The 27,664-nt window shown below is 40.5% G+C and overlaps 2 pseudogenes; one reads left to right on the forward strand and one right to left on the reverse strand.

Moving 5' to 3' along the window:
• NBPF17P (NBPF member 17, pseudogene) overlaps positions 1 to 27,664 on the reverse strand; it is a 40,565-nt pseudogene that overhangs the window by 2,155 nt on the left and 10,746 nt on the right.
• PFN1P12 (profilin 1 pseudogene 12) lies at positions 22,618 to 23,400 on the forward strand (annotated as a pseudogene).

Genomic DNA, 27,664 nt, shown 5'->3' on the forward strand with positions numbered 1-27,664 from the left:
ACTTTTGAAGTCTGGTCAACCTACAGTAGGTTAGTAAATGATAAGGGGAGGAAGAAATGGAAACTTAAACATCTACTGTAATGAAAACCAACAGCAATGTCAGTAGGAGTAATTCAACCTTCGTTGAAAACATGAAATCGAACACACTCTTGTTTTCCCTGGACCTGTCGTCTCCGGGTGTCAACACAGAATTAAGCATCTATAATTGCTCAAAGTTACCTGGGGCATGATGGGTTTTGGTCTTCTTCTACTTCTTGGTACTTTTCAATTTCTGTAATAAGTTCAGATATGGACAGACACATTAAGCTGATTCCCCTACACACATAACAATCCACTGTCTAATCCTCACACAGGGACCTCAGGCTCCTCAGCATGAGAATAGGACACTGTGAGAGATATTCTTCAGGAGGTCCGAAGGCTGATCATGATAGAGATTCCTTGGCTTTTGTCCCAGAAACTGTGGGTAAAATGTCCCTATTCTGGTAGATTGTTATCCCAATGTCATTTGTCCCAAGTTTGTGCAAATGATTATGCCGTATTTTTCCAATCAATTTAAAGCAAATGCCCCCAACTGGTTTCTAGGAGAAAAACTGCACTATTCAGCCCTGTCTCATCAAATATTCAGATTGTTCATGGTTGTGAGGATATTAGACACTGAAATTAGAGTGAAGGAGGAAATCTACAAAACTGAGACAAAATCAGAGTTGTGTGAATTTGTCACATCTGCCCGAATCCAATGTATTGAGAGTAAGATCAGGGTGCCACAAGCATGGCCTGAGACTACAAAGAGAGCCACGCTCACTGATCCATCCCGTGTCTGGGCTTCCAAGTAGAACTAGAGTTTCATTTAAATCTACATGTGCTTATAGGTCCTCCCTGTGGCAATGATATCTCTCAGCTCAGTAATGGCCACTAGCAGCAGGAATATGACCCTATCCAGAAGACTCAGTGGATCCTTATCACCTTCATAGAAAGGTACTCACCACCCACATCAAGAGCCAAGCTAACATGCTGTTGCTCCAATGAGTAAAATGCACTTCTGTAGGGCTGGCATGAGTCAGGCAGTTCAAGATAACTAGAAGGAGTCAAATATCTATCCAGTGAGTCCTGCAAGACTTCAGGCTCTTCCCCTTCCAGCAGCTCCCTGCTGAGCCTAGAAGAGTAGAAAAAGTAAAGAATAAGCCAGGGAAAATCAGAAACCTCAGAGCCCCAGCTAGATTTCATGGGTAGCATAAGGAAGTGGTTAAAAAAGAAAAAGGATAGATCCATTAATGAGGTAACAAACTATTGCCTTCATGTTGGGACTGAACAGGGCCAAATGGAAAAGGATGAAAGAGAAAGACAGTCAGAGAGAGAGAGAGACAGCTCAATGAATTGTCCAGGTGACACACTGATGAGGGAGTAACAGAACACTCTGAGTTAGTGTCCTCAGGACACACAGCATACAGTGATCATGAAAAGAATGCGCTCAATAATTTTCCATAAAATGTACTCAACTTTCCATGCAGTCACCATGAGAATACAGCTTTTGAAATATGGTCGATGTACCGTAGGTTCATAAATGATAAGGGGAGGAAGAAATGGAAACCTAAATATCTACTGCAATGAAAACAAACAGCAATGTTAGTAGGAATAATTCAGGCTTGGTTGAAAGATGTAATCGATATTGTCAGCCCACTCTGTTTTCCCTGAACCAAGAGTCTCCAGGTGTCAACACAGAAGTAGCTGTTCACAATTGTTCAAAGTTACCTAGGGCATGATGGGCCTTGGTCTTCTTCCTCTTCTTGGTCCTTTTTAATTCCTACAATAAATTCAGACAGGGACAGACAAAATAAGCCAATTCACCTACACCCATAACAGTCCACTGTCTAATCCCCACATGAGGACTTCAGGCTCCTCAGCATGAGAACAGGACAATGAGAGAGATATACTTCAGGAGGCCTGAAAGCAGGTCATGATAGAGATTCTTTAGTTGCATCTCAGAACCAAGGGTGAAATACCACTATTCTGGTAGATCGTTATCCTAAAATCATTTATCCCAAGATTGTGGAAACAGTTATGCCTTATTGTTCCCATCAATTCAAAGAAAATGCCCCAGATGATTTCTAGGAGGAAGACTGCAGTATTCAGCCCTGTCTCCTCAAATGCCCAGCTCGTTCATGGTTGCAAGATACTGAAACTAGAATGAAGGAGGAAATCTACAAACCCTTGAGTCCAAATAATAGTTCTGTGAATTTTTCACATCTGCCTGGGTCCAATGTGCTGAGAGTGGGCTGAGGTGGTCACAGGCATGGCTGGAGACTAGGAATAGAGCCATGCTCACTGACCCATTTCATGTCTGGGCTTCCAACTGAAACTACAGTCTCATTACAAGCTATATGCACCCACAGGTCCTGCCTGTGGCAATGACACCTCTCGGGTCAGTAAGGGCCACTTGGAACAGGAATATCACCCCTATCTGGAAGACCAGGTGGAGGCTTATCACTTTCATAGTAAGGTACTCACTATCCACATCAAGAGCCAAGCCAAGGTGCTGTTCCTCCAATGAGTAAAAGGCACTTATGTAGAGCTGGCATGAGTCAGACAGTTCAAGATAACCAGAAGGAGTTGAATAACATCTATCCAGTGAGTCCCGCAAGACTTCAGGCTCCTTCTTGTCCAGCAGCTCCCTGCTGAGCCTGGAAAAGTAGGAAAAAGTAAAGAATAAGGCAGGGGAAATCAGAAACCACACAGCCCCAGCTAGATTTCATGGGTAACATAAGGAAGTGTTTTAAAAGAAAAAGAACGGATCCAGTAATGAGGTAACAAATTATTGCCTTTATGTTGGGATAGACCAGGGTCAGGTATAAACGGATGAAAGAGGAAGAGAGAGACACACACACACGCACACACATGCACACACACACGCACACACAGAGACAGAGAGATAGTGAGCTCAGTGAATTGGCCAGGTGACACACTGATGAGGGAATCAAAGGACACTCTGTATTTGTGCTGTCAGGACACACAGCAAACAGTGATCATGAAAAGAGTGGTCTTAATAACTTTGCACAAAATGTGCTCAAGTTTCCCTGCAGTCACTATGAGAATACAGCTTTTGAGGTATGGTCAACCTTCACTAGGTTAGTAAATGATAAGGTAGGAAGAAATGAAAACCTAAACATTTAATGTAATGAGAACCAAAAGCAATGTTAGTAGGCATAATTCAGACTTGTCTGACAAGATGAAATCATTATTTTCAGCATGTACTCTTTTCCCTGGACTTGGCGTCTCCAGGTGTCAACACCAAATTAACTGTCCACAATTTCTCAGACTCATCTGGGATCTGTTGCCTCTTGGTCCTCCTTTTTCACTTGATCACATCGATGTCCTGCATGCAAATAAATTCAAATGGGGCCTCTTACATTAAGCAGTTCTTCCTTGCACACAGAAACCTTCCTCTGTCCAATCCGAACACAGGGACATCAGTCTTCTCAGTGTGAGAACAGGAGACTTTGAGAGAAGTATACCAGGAGGCCTGAGGTTAAGTCTTGAGAGAACTGACTTGGTTCCTTTCTTGAGCTTTCGGCAAAATTCCCCTGTTTTGGAACGTTATCTTCCCAATATGCTCTGTCCTAGGTTTGTGTACACAAATGAGCAATATTTCTCCCAATAGAGTTTAAGCAAATAGTTCTAACACCTTGTAGGAGAGATACTGCAATATTCAGGCTTCTCTCATAAAATACCCAGGATTTGATAGCTTACGAGATTGTGGACACTGAGATTTGATGGAGGGGTGCAATGTACCAGCTCTTGAGTCAAAATGAGACTTGGTTCGACACGGAAGCATCAGCTACTATGGCTTTTTTGGGTAAAAAGTCAGCCATTTATCTAGAAAACATGCCAGCAAGATGATGGACAGATGAGCTAAAACAAGCCAACTTAGAAGACACAGAAAATGGGGATAAATTCAGTGAAACCTGGGTCACATTTTCCACTGAGAGGTAGACAAGGGTAATACTGGCCTTAGGCAGGTAAAGAACTGCACAGACATGCTTTGGGAACAAAACTCATAACGAACTTCGTAGCTGGCAAGAGACATTTAATTCAGATGAGCTGATCTGACAGACAACTCCTGGGCATGTGCTGCATAGCTTGGTGTGAGTTTGCCACACCAGCCTTGAGTTCAATGTCCTGACAGTTGAACCAGCGTGCCACGGGCATGGCCTGAGACTAGGAGAAAGCCAAGCTCACTGACCCACCCCATGCCTGTGCTTCAGACTCGACTCCAGAGTGATTGAAATCTACATTGATATATAGGTTCAGCCCACAGTGATGGCAACTCTCAGCCCAACCAGGGGCACAAGGCCCGGAGATTATGGGGTCTACCTGGGACACGAACGGGAGCTTTATCACCTTCACAATGGAGTATTCACTGCCTATGACAAGAGCCAAGCCGACTTGCTGTTCCTCTAATGAGTGAAAGGTGCTCCTGTAAGACTGGTACGAGGCTGACTTGTCAGGAGGAATTGAGAGAGTCGAATAACCTTCATCCCAGGACTCCTGAGGGGCTTCCTCCTCTTCAGACTCCTGCAGATTCCTGACGAGGCAGGCAGGACAGGGATGACAGAAGATTTAACCAACAGAGATTAGACAACAAAACCTCCCAGATGTTCTGATGGGAGACAGAATGGAGTGGTCACAGAAACCAAAGGCATTTTTCCTTCAAGAGAAATAAAATTATCCTTCTAAATGCAAGGTAGAGGGTGTCTGCTCTGGGGACAGAGCAAAAATGGGCAGCACGTGCTCAGTACATTTGCCACAGATGAGCCAATGTAGGGCACCAAGACTCTCCCTGTAAACTACCATCATGACTTGCAGCACAGAGAACTAACACTGGGCTTCAACTACTTTGCATAAATTAAATTGAATTTTACATGCAGCATTCAAGTGAACAGAGCTCTTGAGGCAGTGCAGACACAGATCTTGGGTATTAAGGGCCCCATTTTTCCAATATTTTGATATAATACGTTTATTTTTTCAATTTCTTTTCTTGCACAAATACTAGCAAACATACTAACAAAAAATGGGCAGAAAGCATATATACATCTCTCCCTGGATTTAAACACATGGGAGAGAACAGGCAACACCAAGAAATCCCTGTTTGAGGGTCTAGAGTAGACTCCCAGGAAACTCCAACAGACCTGCAGCTGAGGGACCTGACTGTTAGAAGGAAAACTAACAAACAGAAAGGAATAGTATCAACATCAACAAAAAGAACACCCACACCAAAACCCCATCTGTAGGTCACCATCATCAAAGACCAAAGGTAGATAAAATGACAAAGATCTGGAGAAACCAGAGCAGAAAAGCTGAAAATTCTAAAAACCAGAGCGCCACTTCTCCTCCAAAGGATTGCAGCTCCTTGCCAGCAATGGAACAAAGCAGGATGGAGAATGACTTTGACTAGTGACAGAAGTAGGATTCAAAAAGTCAGTAATAACAAACCTCTCTGAGCTAAAGGAGGATGTGCGAACGCATTGCAAGGTAGTTAAAACCTTGAAAAAAAAATTAGACAGATGGCTAACTAGAATAAACTGTGTAGAGAAGACCTTAAATGACTTGATGGAGCTGGTCATCAAACCATAGCATGAGAACTACGTGATGCATGCACAGGATCGGTAGCCAATTCGATGAAGTGGAAGAAAGGGCATCAGTGATTGAAGATCAAATTAATGAAATGAAATGAGAAGAGAATTTTAGAGAAAAAAAGAGTAAAAAGAAATGAACAAAACCTCCAAGAAATATGGGACTATGTGAAAAGACCAAATCTATGTTTGATTGGTATACCTGAAAGTGACAGGGAGAATGGAACCAAGCTGGAAAACACTTTTCAGGATATTATCCAGGAGAACTTCTCCAACCTAGCAAGGCAGGCCAACATTCAAATTCAGGAAAAACAGAGAAAACCACAAAGATACTCCTCGAGAAAAGCAACTCCAAGACACATAATTGTCAGATTCACCAAAGTTGAAATGAAGGAAAAAATGTTAAGGGCAGCCAGAGAGAAAGGTCGGGTTACCCACAAAGGAAGCCCATCAGACTAACAGCAGATCTCTTGGCAGAAACCCTACAAGCTAGAAGAGAGTAAGAGGCCAATATTCAACATTCTTAAAGAAAAGAATTTTCAACCCAGAATTTCATATCCAGCCAAAGGAAGCTTCATAAGTGAAGGAGAAATAAAATCCTTTACAGACAAGCAAATGCTGAGAGATTTTGTCACCACCAGGCCTGCCTTACAAGAGCTCCTGAAGGAAGTACTAAACATGGAAAAGAACAACCAGTACCAGCCACTGCAAAAACATGACAAATTGTAAAGACCATCAATGCTAGGAAGAAAGTGCATCAACTAACAGGCAAAATAACCAGCTAACATCAAAATGACAGGATCAGATTCACACATAACAATATTAACCTGAAATGTAAATGGGCTAAATGCCCCAATTAAAAAACACAGACTGGCAAATTGGATAAAGAGTCAAGACCCATCAGTGTGCTGTATTCAGGAGACCCATCGCATGTGCAAAGACACACATAGGCTGAAAATAAAAGGATGGAGGAAGATCTACCAAGCAAATAGAAAGCAAAGAAAAGCAGGGGTTGCAATCCTAGTCTCTGATAAAACAGACTTTAAACCAACAAAGATCAAAAGAGACAAAGAAGGCCATTACATAATGGCAAAGGGATCAATTCAACAAGAAGAGCTAACTATCCTAAATACATATGTACCCAATACAGGAGCACCCAGATTCATAAAGCGAGTTCTTAGAGACCTAAAAAGAGACTTAGACTCCCATACAATCATAATGGGAGACTTTAACACCCCACTGTCAATATTAGACAGATCAATGAGACAGAAGCTTAAAAAAGATATCCAGGACTTGAACTCAGCTCCGCACCAAGCAGACCTAATTGACACCTACAGAATTCTCCACCCCACATCAACAGAATATACATTCTTCTCAGCACAACATCACACTTATTCCAAAATTGACCACATAGATGGAAGTAAAGCACTCTTCAGCAAATGTAAAAGAATAGAAATCATAACAAACTGTCTCTCAGACCACAGTGCAATCAAATTAGAACTCAGGATTAAGAAACTCACTCAAAACTGTGCAACTACATGGAAACTGAACAATCAGCTCCTGAATGACTACTGGGTAAATAACGAAATGAAGGTGGAAACAAAGATGTTCTTTGAAACCAATGAGAACAAAGACACAACGTATCAGAATCTCTGGGACACATTTAAAGCAGTGTGTAGAGGGAAATGTATCGCACTAAATGCCCATAAGAGAAAGCAGGAAAGATCTAAAATCGACACCCTAACATCACAATTAAAAGAACTAGAGAAGCAAGGGCAAACAAATTCAAAAACTAGCAGAAGACAAGAAATAACTAAGATCAGAGCAGAACTGAAGGTGATAGAGGCACAAAAAACCCTTCAAAAAAATCAGTGAATCCAGGAGCTTGTTTTGTGAAAAGATCAGCAAGAAATTCCTGTTTAGCTAGTTCACCTGGCTCATCTGATTGCAAGTTCCTATCTTGACAGGACTACAAAATTAAAACCAATACAAGGGCCACAAATAATGCACAACATTGTTAATAAGGACAATTTGTAGTTGGGTGAAAAGAAGAAATAGTTCTATACATCACTTCCCCTTTTTCCCTAAATCTACAATCTCCTGGTGTCACTATTGAATTAACAGCCCACAATTCCATAGCATTACCTGGGAAACACTGGCCCTTTTTCTTCCTCTTCCTCTTCCTCATCATCACTTTCATTTTCTGTAAATAAATTCAGAGAAGCAGGTCACATTAAGCAATTCACACTTCACATATGACCAAATCAGTGTTCAGTCATAGCACAAGGACATAACTATTCTCAGTGCAAGAATATGGATTCTGATAGGAATATTCTAGGGTGCCCTAGATTAAGTCTGATGAGAAGTAGATGACCCTGCTTTCCAGACCCACAGGCCAAAATCTCCCTCTATGAGTAGACCATAATGCCATATTCCCTGCCTGAGTCTATGCAAAGTTAAACAAAATTTTTCCCAAAAAAATCTCCAAAAATTGCTCAAACAATTTTCTAGGAGTGTTGCTGCAATACTGACTTATATCCCCAGGTAACACGGACATTAAATGTTTAGAGGCATCTATACATGAAACTTGACTGATAGATAAATTTGAACAGCTCTTGCTTTAAAAAGGATCTGTGATTTGGGAGGCTGAGGCAGGTGAATCATTTGAGGTCATGAGTTCAAGACCAGCCTGGCCAATATGGGAAAACCCCATCTCTACTAAAAATACAAAAACTAGCCATATGTGGTGGTGTGCACCTGCGGTCCCAGCTACTCAGGAGGCTGAGGCAGGAGAATCACTTGAATCTGGGAGGCGGAGTTTGCACCAAGCCAAGATGGTGCCACTGCACTCCAGCCTGGGTGATAGAGTAAGACTCCAATGCAAAAAAAAAAAAAAATAATAATAATAATAATAATAATCTATGATGCTACAAAGAAACATTGGATCAGCCATTGCATTGATGGGGTGGAGAACCAGGGTCCAGCCTTGCTTTATGGAAATATATCAGCAAAGTAAAGAAGAAAGTTTCCTTCCCGATTTCAAGGTGACTGTGCAAAGTAGCTAGGTAAGCTGACTTAAAGGAGATCGAGATTAAAGCTGAGAGCAGTGAAGCCTGGGGAACAATATTTCCAAATACACAGGAAAAGCTGCCAGCTTCCTTTAAAAGGCATAGAAACTCCATGGACATTGTTTAGGGACAGATGGCCTAATCACAGGGGACAAGAGATACTGAGTCAAAGCTAGGAGGCCTGACAGATACTTCCTGTGCACCTCCTGCACTCAGGTGACTATGAGATTGTCACACTTGCTTGGGGTCCAGTAACTTGATACTGGGGACTGGCAGACAAAGGCATGACATGAGATGAGAAGGACACACAAACTCCCTGATATCTGTGTTTAGAATCCAATCGTAGTTTTTTATTCAAACCAATTTGTGTATATAGAGCCTGTCTTCAGAGTTTATCTTCCTCAGCCTAGAAAGAGGTATGAGACACAAGGAAAATAGAGGCTACCTGGGATAATGTGTACAGCATCCTCTCATTCATCATGAGAGGATGAGTCAATGAGAGTTGGATCGACTTTATCTTCCTCAAATGTGATTTTGGTGTTCCTGTGAGGCTGGTTGGAGTCACAAGGGCCGTGGCTATTTGAACAAGTGACGGCACGTTCCTCCAGTGAGTCCTCAGGGACTTCCTTTTCTTCAGCCTTCTGCACCTCCCTGATGAGCCAGGTGGGATCGAGATGACAGAAGATTAAACACAGAGAGATTGGACCCCAGGGAGTCCTAGCTGGTTTTGACAGGAGGCATGAGAGTGGTCCCAGAAAGCAACCAGGAGGTTCCCTTTAAGAGGGAACAGGCAATCCTCTTCTCTCTGCAAGAGAACATGGCCGCCAAAGGAGCCAGAGAGGAAGAGAGCAGCTGGTGTTCATTGCACTGGACAGATAGGAGCTGAGGTGGATGAAGACTCAGCTATCCCTGTATGGTACAGACATGACACTTGGCACACATAGAGAAACACGACAGATGCCACACTCTGTGTCTCAGCTGGGTTGAATTTCACATACTGTGGCCAAGGGAATGCAGGCTTTTGGCCCACTGTAGATGCCAGAGAGGGTGTGCCTTTTAAACCTTTTTCATGTGTTACCACCCATTACTTACTCCTGAGTATTCAGTGTTACCTGGGGGCACATGATTCCTGTACTTTCTCAGCCTCCTCAACTTCAACATCTTTATCCTCATCTTCATCATTTTCTGTAAATACAGAAGTGTTTGTTCAGCTATTTCCCACTTCACACTCTGCAAGACAGTCAGCCCAATGTACACAGAGACATGAACATCTAGTCATGGGTTACCGTTAAACTGAAAGCTCTCATGTTTTGTCTTTAACAAAATGCCCTGGAACGGTTTTCTGATCCATCAGGCAATGCATTTCTGATCTGGAGGGCCACCATCAAGATGTGGCCAAATACTGAAAAGACTTTTTGCTCCCCATATCACTGGAGGCTTGTGCAGCCTCTCTCTGGACTTTGGCAACTGTCTCCCCCATCCCATCACAGATCTGATTCCCAGGCACAGGCTTGGTGTCTTGTCACAGTTCGCATTTTGAACCTAATTCTTTCTCTTAGGAGAGGACAAGCTTGTCCCACAGTGCTCTATGAATCAGGAGACTTCACAGGCCCTCCATGTGGCTTCTGCTGTGTGACATTCTCTCCATGGGGAGTGCTCCAGTCTGAAGCACTTCTTACCACCAAAAGCCCCTACATCAAGTGCCTTCTCCAACATGACAAGGCGAGGAGCTTCATCTCATTTTGAAAAGCAGTAGTAAGTGTTCCCACATTTGGATACTTCAGTCCCTTGCAAGAAACAATCTGTCTGCCTTTGCAGATGGTGAGAGACAAACTCAGGAAGGATAAATCACTCACTTACCGACAGTTACTAAGAACATTGCTGAAGAAACAGCATGGGAACCTTCATTCTTAGTCCAGAGCTCTTTTCACTCTAACAAGCGCCCTCCAGTCACAGCCTCCTTCCTGTCCTTTAAAACTAGACAGATGCTGCCTCTTGCTCCAAAGATCACCTTCCATCAAGGAAGAAGGGACACTTGCAATACTGTGACCTCCAACCCCATGGGTTTCCCATCTCTGTTCTTACCCAGGAAGTCCTGGTCATGTCATGGCCACATATGTTTAGTGGAAAAAAACACCACCGATACAACTGTCATTGAAAGTATGGAGGTCTGGAGTCTCTCATAAGCCTGGGGTTTTGGGTCATCAGGGCCTACGGTCACCTTACCTGGGCTGAGCTTTTGGACAAGGTGCTGTGCCAGCCTACACCCCTCAGCCAGCTGTTCTTGGAGGTCCTGCCCCTAGGACTTGTCCCACTCATCCAGAGTGAGGAGGGCCTGGAGATGCTGATTCAATGAGTGGGAGGCATCTCTCCCTTCCTGTAACTTCTCCTGTAACTGGGTCAGCTCTCATTCCTGAGAGTGGACTGGGACTTTATATCACCTAAGGTTAGATAGTAGAGAAAATTTAACAGTGGAACTGGATGAGTGATCAGTTCTAATATTATGACAGATTTCTGAGAGAATGTCCTCAAGGAGACCTCCACGCAGAAGGTCAACATACGTTTAAAGAAATGTCTGTGGCCAAGAAAAAGAATAAAAAATGGTTTACAGGCTTCCTCTATATCAGAGAGGGCTCCTGTAAGATCCTCGATGATGTTCCATTCATCTTTCTCTTCTGTAAACAAAAGTAGGTGTCTTCCTAATTCAGTTTCAAAACAACATCCCTTCAGTTCCTCACTCTGACCAGGGAAATCTCCATGTGAAAATACACATAGTGCATCTTGCGGCGACTAGATACAAAGCCATGTACAGAAATGAGGCCAGGTGAAGATGGGGAGAATTGAAAAGACAAAAGAAGTAAAGAATGACAGGGTCGAGAAGGCAACATTGATTGAGTGAAAGAATGAGAAGCAGCAGTCAGGAGGTGATTCTCACTTAGGGTAAGTAGGGAGGTGATGGCACACCATTTTGAGTATACTGAATGCTGCTGGGTTGTTCCCACTCCTTTGGTTAATTTTGTGTTATTCAAATTTCACCTCAACAATTACTTGTTTGAAAAAGAGAAAACAAGGCTCTGAGAAACAACTGCAACCCATAATTTATTATTATCCTTGTTCTCTGTTTGATAAATATTTGTGTGTCAAGAGCCCTACCATGGCAATTCCTGCCTTTCCCCTGGCCCAGCTTAGCTCTTACTTCTCCCCACCGAGCTGCTGTACTTCAGAGCCTGCCTGCCCCATGGGGCCTGCCTGCCCCCACTTGCCTGCCCCCACGGGGACCCCTCACCTGAGCTCCTCAGCTTGCCTGAGCTGCTCTGCAAGCTTCTCCTTGAACTGCAGCTCATTCCTCAGCAAAGATTTTATGAGGTCTTTGCACTCTTCACACTCTGAGAAAAGACAGACACGCCTGCCTCAGTGGAAGGCTGGACATGCTGCTGTGGTCACTGCCCACAGGGCAGGAGCCAGGTCCATCCCAAGGACAAAACTGTCCCCAGTACCAGGCCCTAGGAAGGGATTTCCACATCTTTATTCTTCAGTCTCCTGACTTTCTGGCATCTGATCCTCCAAAATTTAGGGACGAAGAAAGAGAAACTCAAGGGCACATCAAGAAAGTTGACAAGATGATTCAACCACAATGAAGTGGAGTCAGAATTCACAGCCCCTGAGGTTTGACTCTGAATGCGGGGCCACTTTCCCAAGCCTTGCAGCCTCTCCTCTAAAACACTGCACTGGGGCATGAAGTAGTGATTTCTTGTACAGTCAGGAAGGCCCCCCAGGACTATGGGAATGATGGTTTCCCTTTTACTGGGAATTTCAAGGACAAATATGTCAAAGATTTTTAAATCATATCTTCAGATATGATTTTAAGAATCATATCTGAAGCATAAAGTATGAGGCATAAGACCATAAGGCCATGAAGGGAATACGCCCAAATGCTAATAAAGTTTGTGTTAATTTAGAAACAGTAGAATGAAGAAGTAATTGATAGTGTTTACTCTGTGCCAATAAATGTTCTAGGAGATTGGCAAGAAATAGCTCATGTAATTCATTGCAGCAATTTACAGAGGTAGGTATTATTGTCGTACCCTGTGAACAGATGAGGAAACTGAGGAACAGACTGAGGGACAGACAAGACAAGTAACTTGGATAGAGCCCAGGAGACAGGCCTAGGGTCCCTGCTCTGAACGCTGTACTTCTACTTCCACACATTCTCAGGTGCGACCTTTCTTCTTCTTTGGGAGCAAGAGCCTGTGCCTCAGGAAGAAGGACTTCCCTCTCAACAGGGTACTCTCTACTTTTTTTTAATTAATTATTTATTTATTTATTTATTTATTTATTTATTTATTTATTTCGACGAGTCTTGCCTTGTCACCCAGGCTCAAGTGCAATGGCGTGATCTTGGCTCATTGCAACCTCTGCCTCCTAGGTTCAAAGAATTCTCCTGCCTCAGCCTCCCGAGTAGCGGGGATTACAGGCGCCGCAACCACGCCCAGCTAATTTTTGAATTTTTAGTAGAGACGGGGTTTCTCCAACTTGCCTAGGCTAGTCTCAAACTCCTGACCTCGTGATCTGCCCAAGTCAGCCTCCGAAAGTGCTGGGATTACAGGAGTGAGCCACAGTGCATGGCCCCTACTCCCTGCTCTTGATGCTGTCACTTATATATACCACATGTTCTATTAGGAGCAGACTGCTCTTGAAGCCCTTCAGAGCGGGTACTGGGTACTATCACCAAGTTTCCCTCAGGGTCACTAGAACAGAGCTTTGCCTATTGGGCCTCAACAGAAGCTTGAACTGAATAAAAGTTCACTTGTCCAGACATTTAGAACAACAGACTAGATGTTATTTGTCTGCAGGATCTTATATAGTACAGAGAGGATTCTTGAAAACATGATTTAGCCTCTTGGAGAAAACAGGTCATTCTGTGCCTGTGTCAGAAATCAATAACTGGGATTTTAACTCTAGTCCCACCCCCAGCTGACTGCTAACATGGAAAGTTGCTAAATACTTTGGTACCTCTGTCTTCCAAATTTAACAAAATGTTAAAATACCCATTTCTATTTTCTTAGATGTACGGGAAGGATGAAATTATTTTTGTTGGAGACAGCATTTAGTTTCTCAGAGAGAAGATAGGGCATTATTCATCACTTTTGTGATGGTGAGCCTATAGAACTTATGGTATTTGTTCTGCCGGTTGGCCAGGAGTAGGCCACTTGAGTTACAAGAAATTTCTCTTTGATGATTCTGAACTGCTGTTTGTTCTCTGCCAGCTGGGGGCGCAATTTCTCATTGATTTCTAGAATGTTCTTTTCTGCCTTCTCACTGGATCAAGGGCTGGCAGACAACACCATGCTGAAGTTTGTGGCAGAAGAGGTGGAGCCAGGGACTGGGGAGAAGAAACCCAAACACATGATGGGTTAAAAACTGGTGAAATCCAATAGGTTTAATCAGGACTGAGGGATGTCAGTAACTGAAATTCTTAACTTACTATTGAGAAAAATGTGATCACTCCCCACAGCACTTTAGGATCCTTCACCACAAAAACAAGGTTTGAGGTGCCTGAACTCAGAGCTGAAGGCACTCACTACCAGTAGCTCAGACTCTGACAAAAGTAAGGAAGATTGTGGCCAGCGTGCCAGGTAACCGTCTGCAGTTGCAATAACAGAATTAGAAGATAGGGGTGTCATGGAATCTTAGGAGCTCTGCGTTGCAATTGCCCAGGCTTTGCTGAAACTCAGGCACCCTGGTCTCACCTGAGGGTCACCACCAATGAAGATTATTCCTTCAGCATTCACTCTCAGTATTCGTGTACCCCTGTGACAATGCCACAGACCCATCTCTTTCCCAATACATCTAAGCATATTCCTCACTGTTTATCTCTTGTCTGTACAACATCATCAAGGCAAACAGTTTCCCAACAGGTTATATTTTCTTAATCGTAGTCATGAAGTCACCCCACCTGCTCTAAGTTAAAACAGAACTTAAGGCTTTTCCACAAGTCTAAGGTATCAAACTTTTAGCTTGCCCTGATGTCCTCTGGGTCTTCTGCAGTTTTTTCTGTATCCACTAGAAAGTGAATGAATAATCCATTTTTTAAAAATGTTTTCTTTCCTGTCTCGGTATTCTTCTTGCTGCATCCCATTGTTATGTTGATTCCTTTTTTTCTTACTGGGGCACCATCTTGGCTTTTCATTACACTCTAGACAAGTATGACATCCCTACATCCAAAACTCTTCCTCTGTGTGGGGTGATTTGTTTTTTAATGTCACTGAACACTACATTTTATACTTGTCACTTATGGATGTCATTCTAGTGCTACAAGAGCTCTTTTCAAGGTATCAAGTGATCAAAATCATTTACATAGGGATCTCCTGAAAACATGTGTGACCATCTATCTTGGGAATTTTTGTAAACTGATGCTATTTTGTTGTTTCCATTTTGTTTTCCCATATACTGAAAAGAACAGGACCACGAGCAGTTCTTATGGAATATGGTTTGATATATTTTGTTGAGTTGGACTAATACCATTGATTTTTGGTTGCATTCCACTAACAGAACATGACAAGATCAAGGTTATGGTCAGGGTTGCTTGCTGATCCTCACTGTTGCTGTGCAGTAGAAGGTGAGTTTGAGGTGAAAGGCGTGAGTAGGAAAGAGTGATCCCCTGAACCACCTCCTCACTTTCTCAGCTTTCATCCCACCTAGGTTTTGTGAGCCTGGAACTTGGGAGAATGTTCTGTAGCCCAGGTCTCCTAAGATTGGCTGCTGGACTTGCCTGAGTTGAGGATGCAGTGGGTGTGAACCTGGGCTGCCCAGCATTCATGTGGAAGTGAAGGAAGGAGGACTGGATCAATCCCATTTGAAAGCATCCCTCCCTGCAGCCCGCACCATCCTCCAATGACACTATGAGGACACTGCTTTGAGATGTATCAAAGGCTTTAAGTCAATGTATTTTCTGGGGTCTGGGAGACCTGACATTCTGTTTCAGAATGAAAATCTGTCAGGTTTATTCATTTTACAAATGATAAAACTGCAAGTTCACAAAGTTACATGGCTTACATGAGGTCACACAAAGATGAGTTTTCAGCACTGCCAATAAAAGCAATCACAATAATTATTCAGTAATTATTCATAGAATCCATATAATTCGTAAACATTCACATAATTATTTAGTAATTATTCATTGACCAATTCATACAAGGCATTTTGCTCAAAACTGTGCTCATATTTGGACATTGTATCTTCATCATAATCCTTAAGGTAACGCTATTATCCGTAAGTAACAGGTAAGAAACCTGAAGAAGAGGAATAGCAAATCATGTATTTGGCCATATTTCCATTTTTTGGTTTTTGTGATGCTGGAAGAATGACCAGAATGAGTCACGGGAAGAATATTCATTCCTGTATTATTCTCCAGGACAGAGGTGTGCTCTCCTAGAGTACTGGGGCCAAAATTCAGAAGTGTCCGCAACCTTGCTTTAACAGTATGGGAAATAACCTCTATCACCTGGAATTTCCCTGGAACTTTGGAATATACAAGAGAAGTATGAGATTTGGGTCTTCCTTTGGCTGTGTTTAATTCACTCTTCTATGGAATACCAATGATTCTCACTAAGACTTCTGCCTTTTTATAACCACAATGTATGTTATGGAGAAGATTTTATACTTTGCTCTATTTAGAAAGAATAAATATGAGCAATGGTTTAGGTTTTAGGTCCTGGACTTAATATTTTTCTGATTTCTGTTTTGAGATTAAATTCTCATGTAAATAGAAAAATACTTATTATTTCTTATAAGGCCAAGTTTGTTATTAGTTTGAGTTTTCAAAAATGAAGCACAAACTTTTGATTTTATCTTTGTCTGTCCCCATCAGCGCCACTCATTGTCTATCAGTATGACCTGGACTTGCCCCTGCACTTAACCTCATCCTGCTGAGCCATCTCCAAGCACTGTCCAATTCCGTCAGTGATTCTGGCTCCTCCCAAGGCTCCCTGAAATGGATGCAGGGATCAGGACATCAGACACATTCCAGACACAAAGGCAACCCAGACTGTAGAGCAGGCAGCTGTGTTCCCACTACCCTAATGTTCCAGTGATGTCCTAAAACTGAAAGGAACACTTTCCCTTTTTAGGGGTCTGTTCTTCATGTCTCAATGCCTCTGGTCTAGTTAACACAACTGTTCTGTAAGTGAAAGAACTTGCTAAATTTCTGGTTTCTTGTTAGGTGGCTAGAATAGGTTTATAAGACTTCCTTACTTACCCATGACTGCTGAAGTTTGAATTCTTAACAGTATGATTCTTTTTCTTGTAAGATGAGCAGTTTAGGAAAGATAGGCCATGTTGCTGTGCAAAAAGAGGTAAACTTAATTTCTACTCAAAGCATGCTTGAATTTGAAGCTAGGGCTTCCATTCTTCCAAAGTTGGACTGTCACTGCCTCAGGCATGTGTTCCGAAGGGCTTGTGTCTCTGCTGTACTCAAAATAAAGTTTAAATGGAGCCCAGCAAGCCAGATCTCCTTTAGTTCTAGGTTCCCACAACAGTTTCTCCTCTGCTTTAGAGACTGCATTGAAAATATTCTTGTTCTGCTGTTGTGTTTTGGCTTTGGAATGATGTGATGCAGCTCAGTGGGTCCTACCCCCAAGTTGATCAGAGTAAGAAACACCTGGGAAAGTCAGTGCAAATACAAGTTCATTGTCCTCCTTGCAGGGATTTGGAATCAGAGGGCTCAGGTGAGGCCTGGAATGTGTCTGTTAACATGACTCAGATGTGCAGTCAATTTGGGGACCCACTGATAGCATCGACCTTACAGTTTATGGGATGATTCTTTCTGTTTTGCTGATGAAAAAACTGAGGCACAGAGAGTCTGTAACTTTCCCAAGTTCCCCTTGCTGTAAGTCCTGGAGCCAGATATCAGGTGGAGCAGCCTCTTCCCCATCACCTTCCCACATTTTCAGCTGGGTCAGTTCTTTCCAAGTACGTGTTTCTCTCCCCTATACCTCATTTCTGAAAAAAGGAAAACTTCTAGAATGTAACTTCTTTCATCTAATACATTTCCTCAAAACTTGCTGCCAGCATCATATTCTGGCCACTTATTATTAAAGTGAGATGCCTTTTTTTTTTTTTTTTTTTTTTGAGACAGGGTCTTGCTCTGTCGTCCAGGTTGGAGTTGGTGATTATAGATCACTGCAACCTCGAACTCCTGGGCTCAAGCGATCCTCCTGCCTCAGCTTTCCAAGTAGTTGGAACTCTAGGCACACATCACCATTTCTGGCTAATTTTTTATTTTTCATAGAGACAAGGTCTTGCTATGTTGCTCAGGCTGGTTTTGAACTTCTGGCCTCAAGTGATCCTCCCACCTAGGCCTCCAAAAGTGCTGGGATTACAGGAGTGAGTCACCAAGCCTGGCCCCTGAAATGCTTTTTTTTTTAATTTTTTTTTTTAATGAAAATACAGGACATGGAGATGTGGAAAGACACCTTGCTTTATTACTGTTGTTATTATTATTATTTCTACAGTATAATTCATATATCACAAAATTCACCATTTTTAAGCATACATTTCAGTGTCTTTTACCATATTTCAAAGTCTCACAACCATCACCACTACCTAATTCCAGAATATTTTCATAATGCCAAAAGCATGCCTGTATGGGCAGTCACTCTCCAATTCCCCCCTTCTTGCGGTCTCAGACAACCACTAATCTACTTTTTCAATATACAGATGCACTTGTTCTGGGCACTTCTTCTATATGGAATAACAAAGTGTGGCATTTTGCATCTGGTTCTTAGCATATTGTTCTCAAGTTTTTTTAGCCTGCATTAGTACTTTAACTTTTTTATGGCCAAATAATATTCCACTATATGGTTATACGACATTTTGTTTATTCATCAACTGATAGTGCTTTAAGATGTTTCCACTTTTTAACTCTTATGAATAATGCTGCCATCAACACCTTTGTACATGTTTTTGAGGGAACACCTGTTTTTCATTTTCTTGGTTGTAAACCTAGGAGTGCAATTGCTACATCATATGTCACTTTATGTTTAACTTATTTTATGTTTAACTTTTTGAGGAACTCACACACTGTTTACCAACTTCAGTAGCTATGCCATTTTACATTCCCAATAGTAACATATGAGAATTCCATATTCTCCATAACTTTCCAAACATGTGTTTTCTTTATTTTTTTCCTAAGTCATACTAGTAGGTGTGAAGTGGTATCTCATTTTGGTTTAAAATTACATTTTCCTAATGAAAAACGTTGAACATCTTTGCACGTGCTTCTTGGCCATTTGTGTGTTTCCTTTAGAGAAACCTCTACTCACAGCTTTTTTCCCATTGTTAAATTTGGTTGTCATTTATTGCTCAGTTATATGAATTTCTTATATACTCTAGGTACTAGACCCGTGTTAAATACATAATTTGGAAATAGTTCTCCCATTCTGTGGATTATCTTTTCACTTCCTTGACAGTGTCCTTTGAAGCATATAAGATTTTTATTTTAATGAAGTCCATTCATCTATTTTTGGGTTGTTTGTGCCTACTTAAAAAATGTCTAATCCAAAGTCACAAAGATTTGTACCTATGTTTTCTTACAAGACATCATTTTTAGAATGAGAAATTTCCTTGGTTTTAGTGGAGGGCAGACATTGTTTATGCCTCCTGTCCATTACCGATGTTTCTCCTGATTGTTATTCATATGCTCACCACCCCTCCATGGAGCATCCCACGGCCTGTAACAGAGCTCTGGGGACTGATATCCTTCCACTGACTTTGGAGCTGGTGAGAGCCCTGGTCATGTGATTCAGCTTAGCCTTAACCCGACCCAGTTGCACATATTCCTCAGGGCCTTCAGAGTTGAAGTCGAGAGGCTCTCTGAGAACGCTTGCCAGCCCATGCTGTTTTAAGGCTGGAGCAAACTTCCTCCATCTATTCCAGACAGAGGGGACTGCAGGGGTAGGAGTCAGTCAAGACATCTCTGGTGTTAGAAAGTAGAGCTGTTTCAGGGTTTGGGGAAGATTGTTCAATTAAACTAAGTCCTCTTTGTTTTTACTGTATGTGTGACTTCTTTCTACAAACAAAGGAAGAATATTTATGTTAGAACATTTTATCTATTCTTTATCAATTGTTTGTCTACAATTTTAACGTGGATAAAGGAGAGCTCAGTGTAAATATATTCTTAAAAACTAATTATGGTTCATGTCCACTACCATGCGATCATATTTAAATCTATGAACTATCCTGTTACTTAGGTATTATCCTGCTCCTGATGAGAAAACAAACTCAGAAAGATTGCAAAATTTCCCTAGGTCACAAAACCAGTGAGGAGAGGAATAAGAATTAGAAACCAGTTCCTTTTGGCCTTCAAAGCTAACCATATACCATTAGATCAAACTGATTTACATACTTTTGCTGGAATTAGTCTCAGAGTTCATGGTTCTCGCTTGATTTTCCCAAGGAAACTGTGCCACTTTAATATCATTTCAAACTTTGAAATTTAAACTCTTTTTTATTATACTTTTTTGTCTTTGTTCTGTTCCATTTCTTTTGATTTCTTCTCAACGAATCCCTCTTATTTATATGCTAAATATTTGTTACCTATTTTCTGTCAATTTTCACATTTTTGAGTGTTTGTTTTCTCTCTGTTGTATGCTAACAGTTCTTCATTGAGATACAATTTGCATAGAGAATACTGCAAAAAACCTAAAGGTACAGCTTTATAAATTTTAATATAATTATACATTGTATAATAACACCCAGTTAAAGACAGAGAACATTTTCCCCCATGCCACAAGGCTCTTATGTGGTCCTTGCCAGTCAATACTCATCCCCCAAATGAAGAATATATTCTGAATGTTGTCACTGCCTTAGTCCCTTTGTGTTGCTGGAAAGGAACACCAGTGGCTGGGTAATTTATAAAGAAAAGAGGTACATTTTTCTCATGGCTCTACAGGCTGCACAAGAAGCATGGAACCTGCATCTGCTCCTGATGAGGGCCTGAGGCTGCTTCCACTTGCAGCAGGTGAAAAGGAACCAGTGTGTGCAGAGATCATATGGTGAGAGAGGAAGCAAAAGAAAGTGAATAAGGTGAGAGGCACTTTTTAATAACCAGCTCCTACAGGAACTAAGAGAGTGAGAATTCACTCACTACCTTCTCCCAGGGTGGGGATTAATCTATTCATGAGGGATCCACTCCCGTGACCTAAACACCTCCCATTAACCCCCACCTCCAACACTGGGGACCACATTTAAACATGTGATTTGGAAGGGACCAATATTTAAACTATAGAAGCCGCCAGAGATTAATTTTGCTTATTCATGTGCTTCATGAAAATGAATCATTTTGGCCAGTCCTGGTGGTTCACGCCTGTAATCCCAAGACTGCGAGGCTGAGGCGGGCGGATCACCTGAGGTCAGGAGTTCAAGACCAGCATGGCCAACATGGCAAAACCCTGTCTCTACTGAAAATACAAAAATTAGCCAGGCGTGGTGGCAGGTATCTTTAATCCCTGCTACTTGGGAGGCTGAGGCAGGGAAAGTTTGTTGAACCTGGGAGGCGGAGCCAAGATCGTGACACTGCACTCCAGCCTGGGGGACAGAGTGAGACTCCATCTCAAAAAAATTAAAAAATGGAATCGTTGAGTATGTTCTCTTGTTCTGACTTCTCTTACTCAGGTGGTTTTGTATGCCACTAGTTTGTTTGATTGTGTTTTTCCCTCGTTTCATTTTGTTTTGGCCAAGTAATATCCTATTGATTGTATGATTGTCACACAATTTGATATCCATTTTTCTGATGGGAGACAGGTTTACTTGTTGGCTGCTGTGCATAAGTAACTATGAATATTCTCATACAATTATTTCTGTGAAGATACATACTTATTTTCCAGGGTATCTATAGCTAGGGATAGAGTTGCTTGGTGAATGTGTAGAAAATGGGCACAGAGTTTTGCAAAGTAATTGTATTATTTTACATTTCTATGAAAGATGTAGGCCATTTCCCATTGCTCTACATTCCCACACACTTAATATTTTCAGCCTTTTATATATAGCCATTCTACAATTGTGTAGTGATATCCTGTTTTGGTTTTCTCAGGCCTAATGTTCATTTAGATATCTTCTTATGGAAAATATCTTCTCAAATTTTTATGTTCGTTGATATACTGGGGTGTTTGTCATTTTCTTTGTAATCTATAGCCATTCTTTATATATTTTGAATGAGTCCATTTATATATACATTTTTTTTTTTTGCTATATTACATTGCAAATAATTATTCCTGGTCTACAGATAGCTTTTAAGTTGTTAATCAACAACATAGTAAGTAGAAGGTTTTTAAAAATGAAGTGCAATTCACTTGATTTCTTATTGTGGTGAGTGCTACAGTATCTAGTCTAAGAAATATTTTCCTATGTCAAGTTCATGAAACTATTTCCTATTTTTCCTTTACAGGATTTCTAATTTTAACTTTCACATCTTAAGTTAATTTCAATGTATGATGGAGAATGGTTGTTAATATTAACTTTTTAAAACAACAAATATTATTTCACTCAAAACCATTTTACTTAAAAGTCTTTCATTTCCCCAATGAAAGGCATTGGTGTCTTTGTTTTTAAAACATTTAGAAGTGGCAGTGCGAGCATGTTCTCACTCATGAGTGGGAATTGAACAATGAGAACACTCGGACACAGGGCGGGGAACATCACACACCAGGGCCTGTCATGGGATGTGGGGCTGGGGGAGGGATAGCATTAGGAGAAATACTTAATGTAAATGATGAGTTAATGGGTGCAGCAAACTAACATGGCAAATGTACACCTATGTAACAAACCTGCACGTTGTGCACATGTACCCTAGAACTTAAAGTATAATAAATAAATGAATAAATATATATATTTTTTTAAAAGAGTGGCAGTGCGAGGGCTGCTGCACAGCTAGCAGAGCCGTGGTGAGGACGGCAGCGCCTGTCCCGAGCTCTCCGCCTCCCCTGCCCGCCAGCCCAGGCGGCCCCAGCAGCAGTGACCAGAGGAGCCCCTGCAGCAACGCAATGGCCAGGTGGATGCCTCCATCTACAGCCCTGTGGCGGATGGGACCTGTTAGGACATCACCATCATGGGCAACAAGGACTTGAACTGGGCTGCCATCTCAGGGAAAACCTTCGCCAACATCACCCCAGCTGAGGTTGGTGTCCTGTTTGGCAAAGACTTGTCAAGCTTTTTCGTGAATGGGCTGACACTTGGGGGCCAGAAATATACTGTTGTCCCGGACTCACTGCTGCAGGATGGGGAATTGACCGTGGATCATCATATGAAGAGCATCAGTGGAGCCCCACCTTCAGTGTCACTATCACCATGACTGCCAAGACGCCAGGCCTGCTGATGGGCAAAGAAGGAGTCCACGGTAGTTTCACCATTTCATAACAAAGGAATGTTATGAAATGGCCTCCCACCTTCAGCGTTCCCAATACTGACCTCCTTTGTTCCTTCCCCTCCACTGCTTCCCACAGCTTTGCCCCACTTTCCTTCTCATACATACACCATTTTAATTTCAGGGACCATTACTCCACACACCTTATTGCTGCCAAAACAACATGGGCTGGGGGCCAGGGATAGATGGACAGACACCTTCCCCTACCTATACCCCTCTTGTGTGTGGTTGGAAAACTTTTTTCTTTTGAGGAATTTTTTAGGAATAAAAAAGATTCTACTAAAAAAATAAATAACTATACATATGTTTGAATGTATAGTTTGAATCTGTATTCTTTTCCTTTGATATATTTATGAATACTTACAACAGTACTACCATTTTTAAATTACTTTAAAATCAGGTTTGAAATCTAGCAGAGAAAGTGCTCCAACATATTGCTTCTTTAAGACCAACTTGCCTATTATAGGTTCTTTGATTTTCAAATACATTTTGAAATTAGCTTTTAAATTTCTCTAAAATCTCCTACTAGAAATATTAATCAGAATTGTGTTGATGTAATATGCTAACAAAATTGAGTCTTCCAATCAATGAACATGATATCCATTTCTCTATTTAGTCTTCTTTAATTTTTCTAACCAATTGCTTTTAGGGGCCTTGTGCCTGCTTCATTGCATGTATTCTTAAGCATGGAATGATTCCGGCTATTAATCTCTATTATGTTTTATTGAATTTCATTTTCTAGCTGCTAATTGCTAGTATGGAGAAATTAAGATGATGAAATCAACTTTATAAAGGTTTAATTTAGGTACAACAGACTGCACCACTTTAAAATGCATAATTCAATGCATGTTTACAAACGTATACACTAATGGAACTACTGCCACAACCAAGATAGAGGAATTTATGCCCCAAAGTTTCTTGTACCCCTTTGCAGTTCATCAGTCTTTCAACCCTCGTGCCCAAGTAACCGCTGTCACTTCAGGTCCGTTTCCATTTTTAACCATTTTCTATAAATGAACTAATACCTGCGTTCTTTTGTATCTGCCTTCTTTCATGCATCAACGTAATTTTAAAATCCATCCAGATGAGTATTTTCATCAATAGTTAATGCCTTGTAATTGCTGAGTAGTATTCCTTCATGTGGCTATACCATGTATGTTTGTACTTTCACTTGTTATTGGACATTTCTATCATTCCATGTTTGGGCTATTATGAAGAAACTATCATGAGCATCCATACGTGGCAGGCCAGGTCTCACTAACACAGGCCTCCCTAACAATTATTTCCGTACCGACTGAGTGGTTCAGTTAAATATTAAGAGGAAGGAGAAAAAAAAACCAGTGCCCTTATACAAAGGCTGGAATGTAACAAAAGCCCACCAAGAGTTTTGCCTAGGCTTTTCCTGGACCTTAAAGCATGACAAAATAATGAGGGCATTCTTAACAGGAGTCGTTTAGTATGAAACAAGTTTTATTGGGGGTCTGAAGAAACTCCCCAGGCCTCCAGAAACAAGTTTATTGGAGGTCTGAAGAAACTCCCCAAACCTCTGTGATTTAGCAGGAGACAAGACAAGGGTCCCCAGCACCTAGACCCATTTAGATTAAGTGAATTTACTGAGGCTCCAGAGGAAGGTCTTCAGGACTCAGACCTTAGTTATAGATTAAAAGAAGTTAATCACTTATGTATTTACAGGAATGCACACTTCCACATGCACATATAGCTTAGAAGGTATATAAGCTCAGGAAAACTTTGTAATTTTGAGTTGGTCTGGTGATAATTTCCAGGCCTTTTCCCTGTAACCAGTTGCAGAAGTAAAAATTCTCTTCCTCCCCAGTTCATCAGCATCTTGTTACTGACACACAAGAAATAGCAGCCCGCCCCTCAGTTTGGTCTGGAAACAGACATACAGATCATTGTGCAGACACAGCGTGTAAATTCCTAGGAATGGAATGACTGTCCATCTCATTGGTACATGTTTAACCTTTAAGAAACTGTTAGATTTTCAGTCATACCATTTTTCATTCTTACAAGTATAAAACTTCCAAGTGCTTTAATCCTCACCAATATGTGCTATTTTCAGCATTTTTAATTTTAGCCATTCTCATGGATATGTACTGGTATCTCATTGTTGTATTGATTGATCTCCCTGATGACTAAACAGTAGAGCATCTTTTTCTATGTTAATTGACCATTCATGTATCTTCTTTTCTGAAGTATCTATTCAAGTCTTTTGAGAAATTATTTCATTGTGCTGTTTATCTTATCAGACTGCAATATATATAGTATATATGTATAGCATATATATACTATATATATAGTGTATATATATAGTATATATATAGTGTATATATAGTATATATATAGTGTATATATATAGTATATATATAGTGTATATATATAGTATATATATATAGTGTATATATAGTATATATATAGTGTATATATAGTATATATATAGTGTATATATATAGTATATATATAGTGTATATATATAGTATATATATAGTGTATATATATAGTAAATATATGTGTGTGTGTATATTATATATATACACTTTTAAAAAACCTTTGTTGGAGATATATATATCTCCTATATTGTGGCTTCTTTTTATGTTCTCTTAATGTTCCCTATTAGGAGAACAATAGATAATCTTCAAAAAGGTGAATATATATATATATACACACACATATATGTGTGAGTGTGTGTGGGTGGGTGGGTGGGTATGTACACATATATATATGTCCTAAGAATCATTAATTAGACATATATGTGAGTATCTATTTCTGGATTCTCTCTTCTCTTCCACTGGTATATATTGTATTTTTTTTTTCAACAAAACACATGATCTTGATTTTCATAGCTGTAGAGTAATTCTGGAAATAGGTAGTGAATTCATTCACCATTATTCTTTTATAATATTGCTCTTTTATTACTCTTGATCATTGACATTACCATATAAATGCTAGAATCAGCTTGTAAATTTCTACCAAAATGCTGCTTGGAATTTTTACTAGAATTGCATTGGATCTGGAGATCAATTCATGAAGAACTGACTTTTTAAACATAACAACTCTTCTGATCCATGACAAGGCTTATCTCCCCACTAATTTAGTTCTTTCATAATTTCTCAAAGCAATTTTTTTGTAGTTTTTGGTGTACTGGCCTTACATAGATTTTGTTGACTTTCTTTTTTCTTTTTTTTTTTTTTGAGACAGAATCTCACTCTGTTACCCAAGCTGGAGTGCAGTGATGTGATCTTGGTTCACTGTAACCTCTGTCTCCCAGGTTCAAGTGATCCTCCTACCTCAGCCTCCCAAGTAGCTGGGACTACAGGCACATGCCACCATGCCCAGCTAATTTTTTGTAGTTTTAGTAGAGACAGGGTTTCACTGTGTTAGGCATGATGGTCTCAATCTCCTGACCTCATGATCTGCCCACCTCGGCTTCCCAAAGTGCTGAGATTACAGGTGTGAGCCACCACACCCAGCCTGTTGAATTTATTTATAACCACAACATGTATTTAGATGTTACTTTAAATGAAATTGTATTTTTATTTCATTTTCCAAATGCTCACTGCTAATATACAGAAATACAAAAGACTACTTATATTGAGCTTATATTTTGCAACACTACCAAACTCACTAATTAGTTTTGGTAGATTTTTGTAGATTTCTAGGATTGTTAACACATATAGACATTATCCGTGAATAAAGACAGCTTCAATTCTTTATTTTCAACCTTTTCAATACTTTTATTTATTTTTCTTACTTTATTGCATTGATTTAGAGCTCTAGTATAATGCTGAATTGAAAGAGTAACAACAGATATTCTACTTTTTTCTCTGATTTAATGGAAAAGCATTCAATCTTATGCCATTTAATATAATGTTACCTGTGGGTTTTTCAAATCTGCCCTTAATGGGGTTGGAAGTGTTGCCTTCCGTTCTTATCATGCTGAGAGTTTTCTGGGGTTTGTTTTTATAAATCATGAAAAAAGTTTTCAATTTTGCCAAATGCTTTTACTGTGTATGATGAGGCAATCATACAGTTTTTCTCTTTTGCCCTGATAATATATAAAATTATACTTTTTAAATATAAAAAAGATTTCTTGAATCAAGCTAGGACAGTTTTTTTAATTATAAACTTTTAACAAATATATTGAAATATAACTTACATGCAATTGAGATGCATTAAAGTGTGTAATCACTAAAGTGTATAATTAAAGTGTATAATTTTAAGAGTTTGAGCACAGTATGCATGAGCCAAAGAGAAAGGACAGAAAATACTAAGTATGTCTCAGCATATGTGGTCTATCTTGGTGAATGTTCTATGTGAGTTTGAGAAGAGTTATTTGTTAGCTGTTCTTAGATGTATTTTGCTTAAATGTCGACTTGGCTAACTTGTGTCATTGATTGTGTGAATTAATTTTGTTCTAGTGGGCATTAAAATTACTGTCTGATCACATTGGACTTATGTGGACTTGGTTTATGTTTTATTACAGTGGATTCATGGAAAGCCAACAGCATTTCCCAAGACTCTCTAATTTGGTA

The sequence above is a fragment of the Homo sapiens genome, chromosome 1 (genome assembly GCF_000001405.40).
Source record: "Homo sapiens chromosome 1, GRCh38.p14 Primary Assembly".
In the NCBI taxonomy this organism is placed as follows: domain Eukaryota; kingdom Metazoa; phylum Chordata; class Mammalia; order Primates; family Hominidae; genus Homo; species Homo sapiens.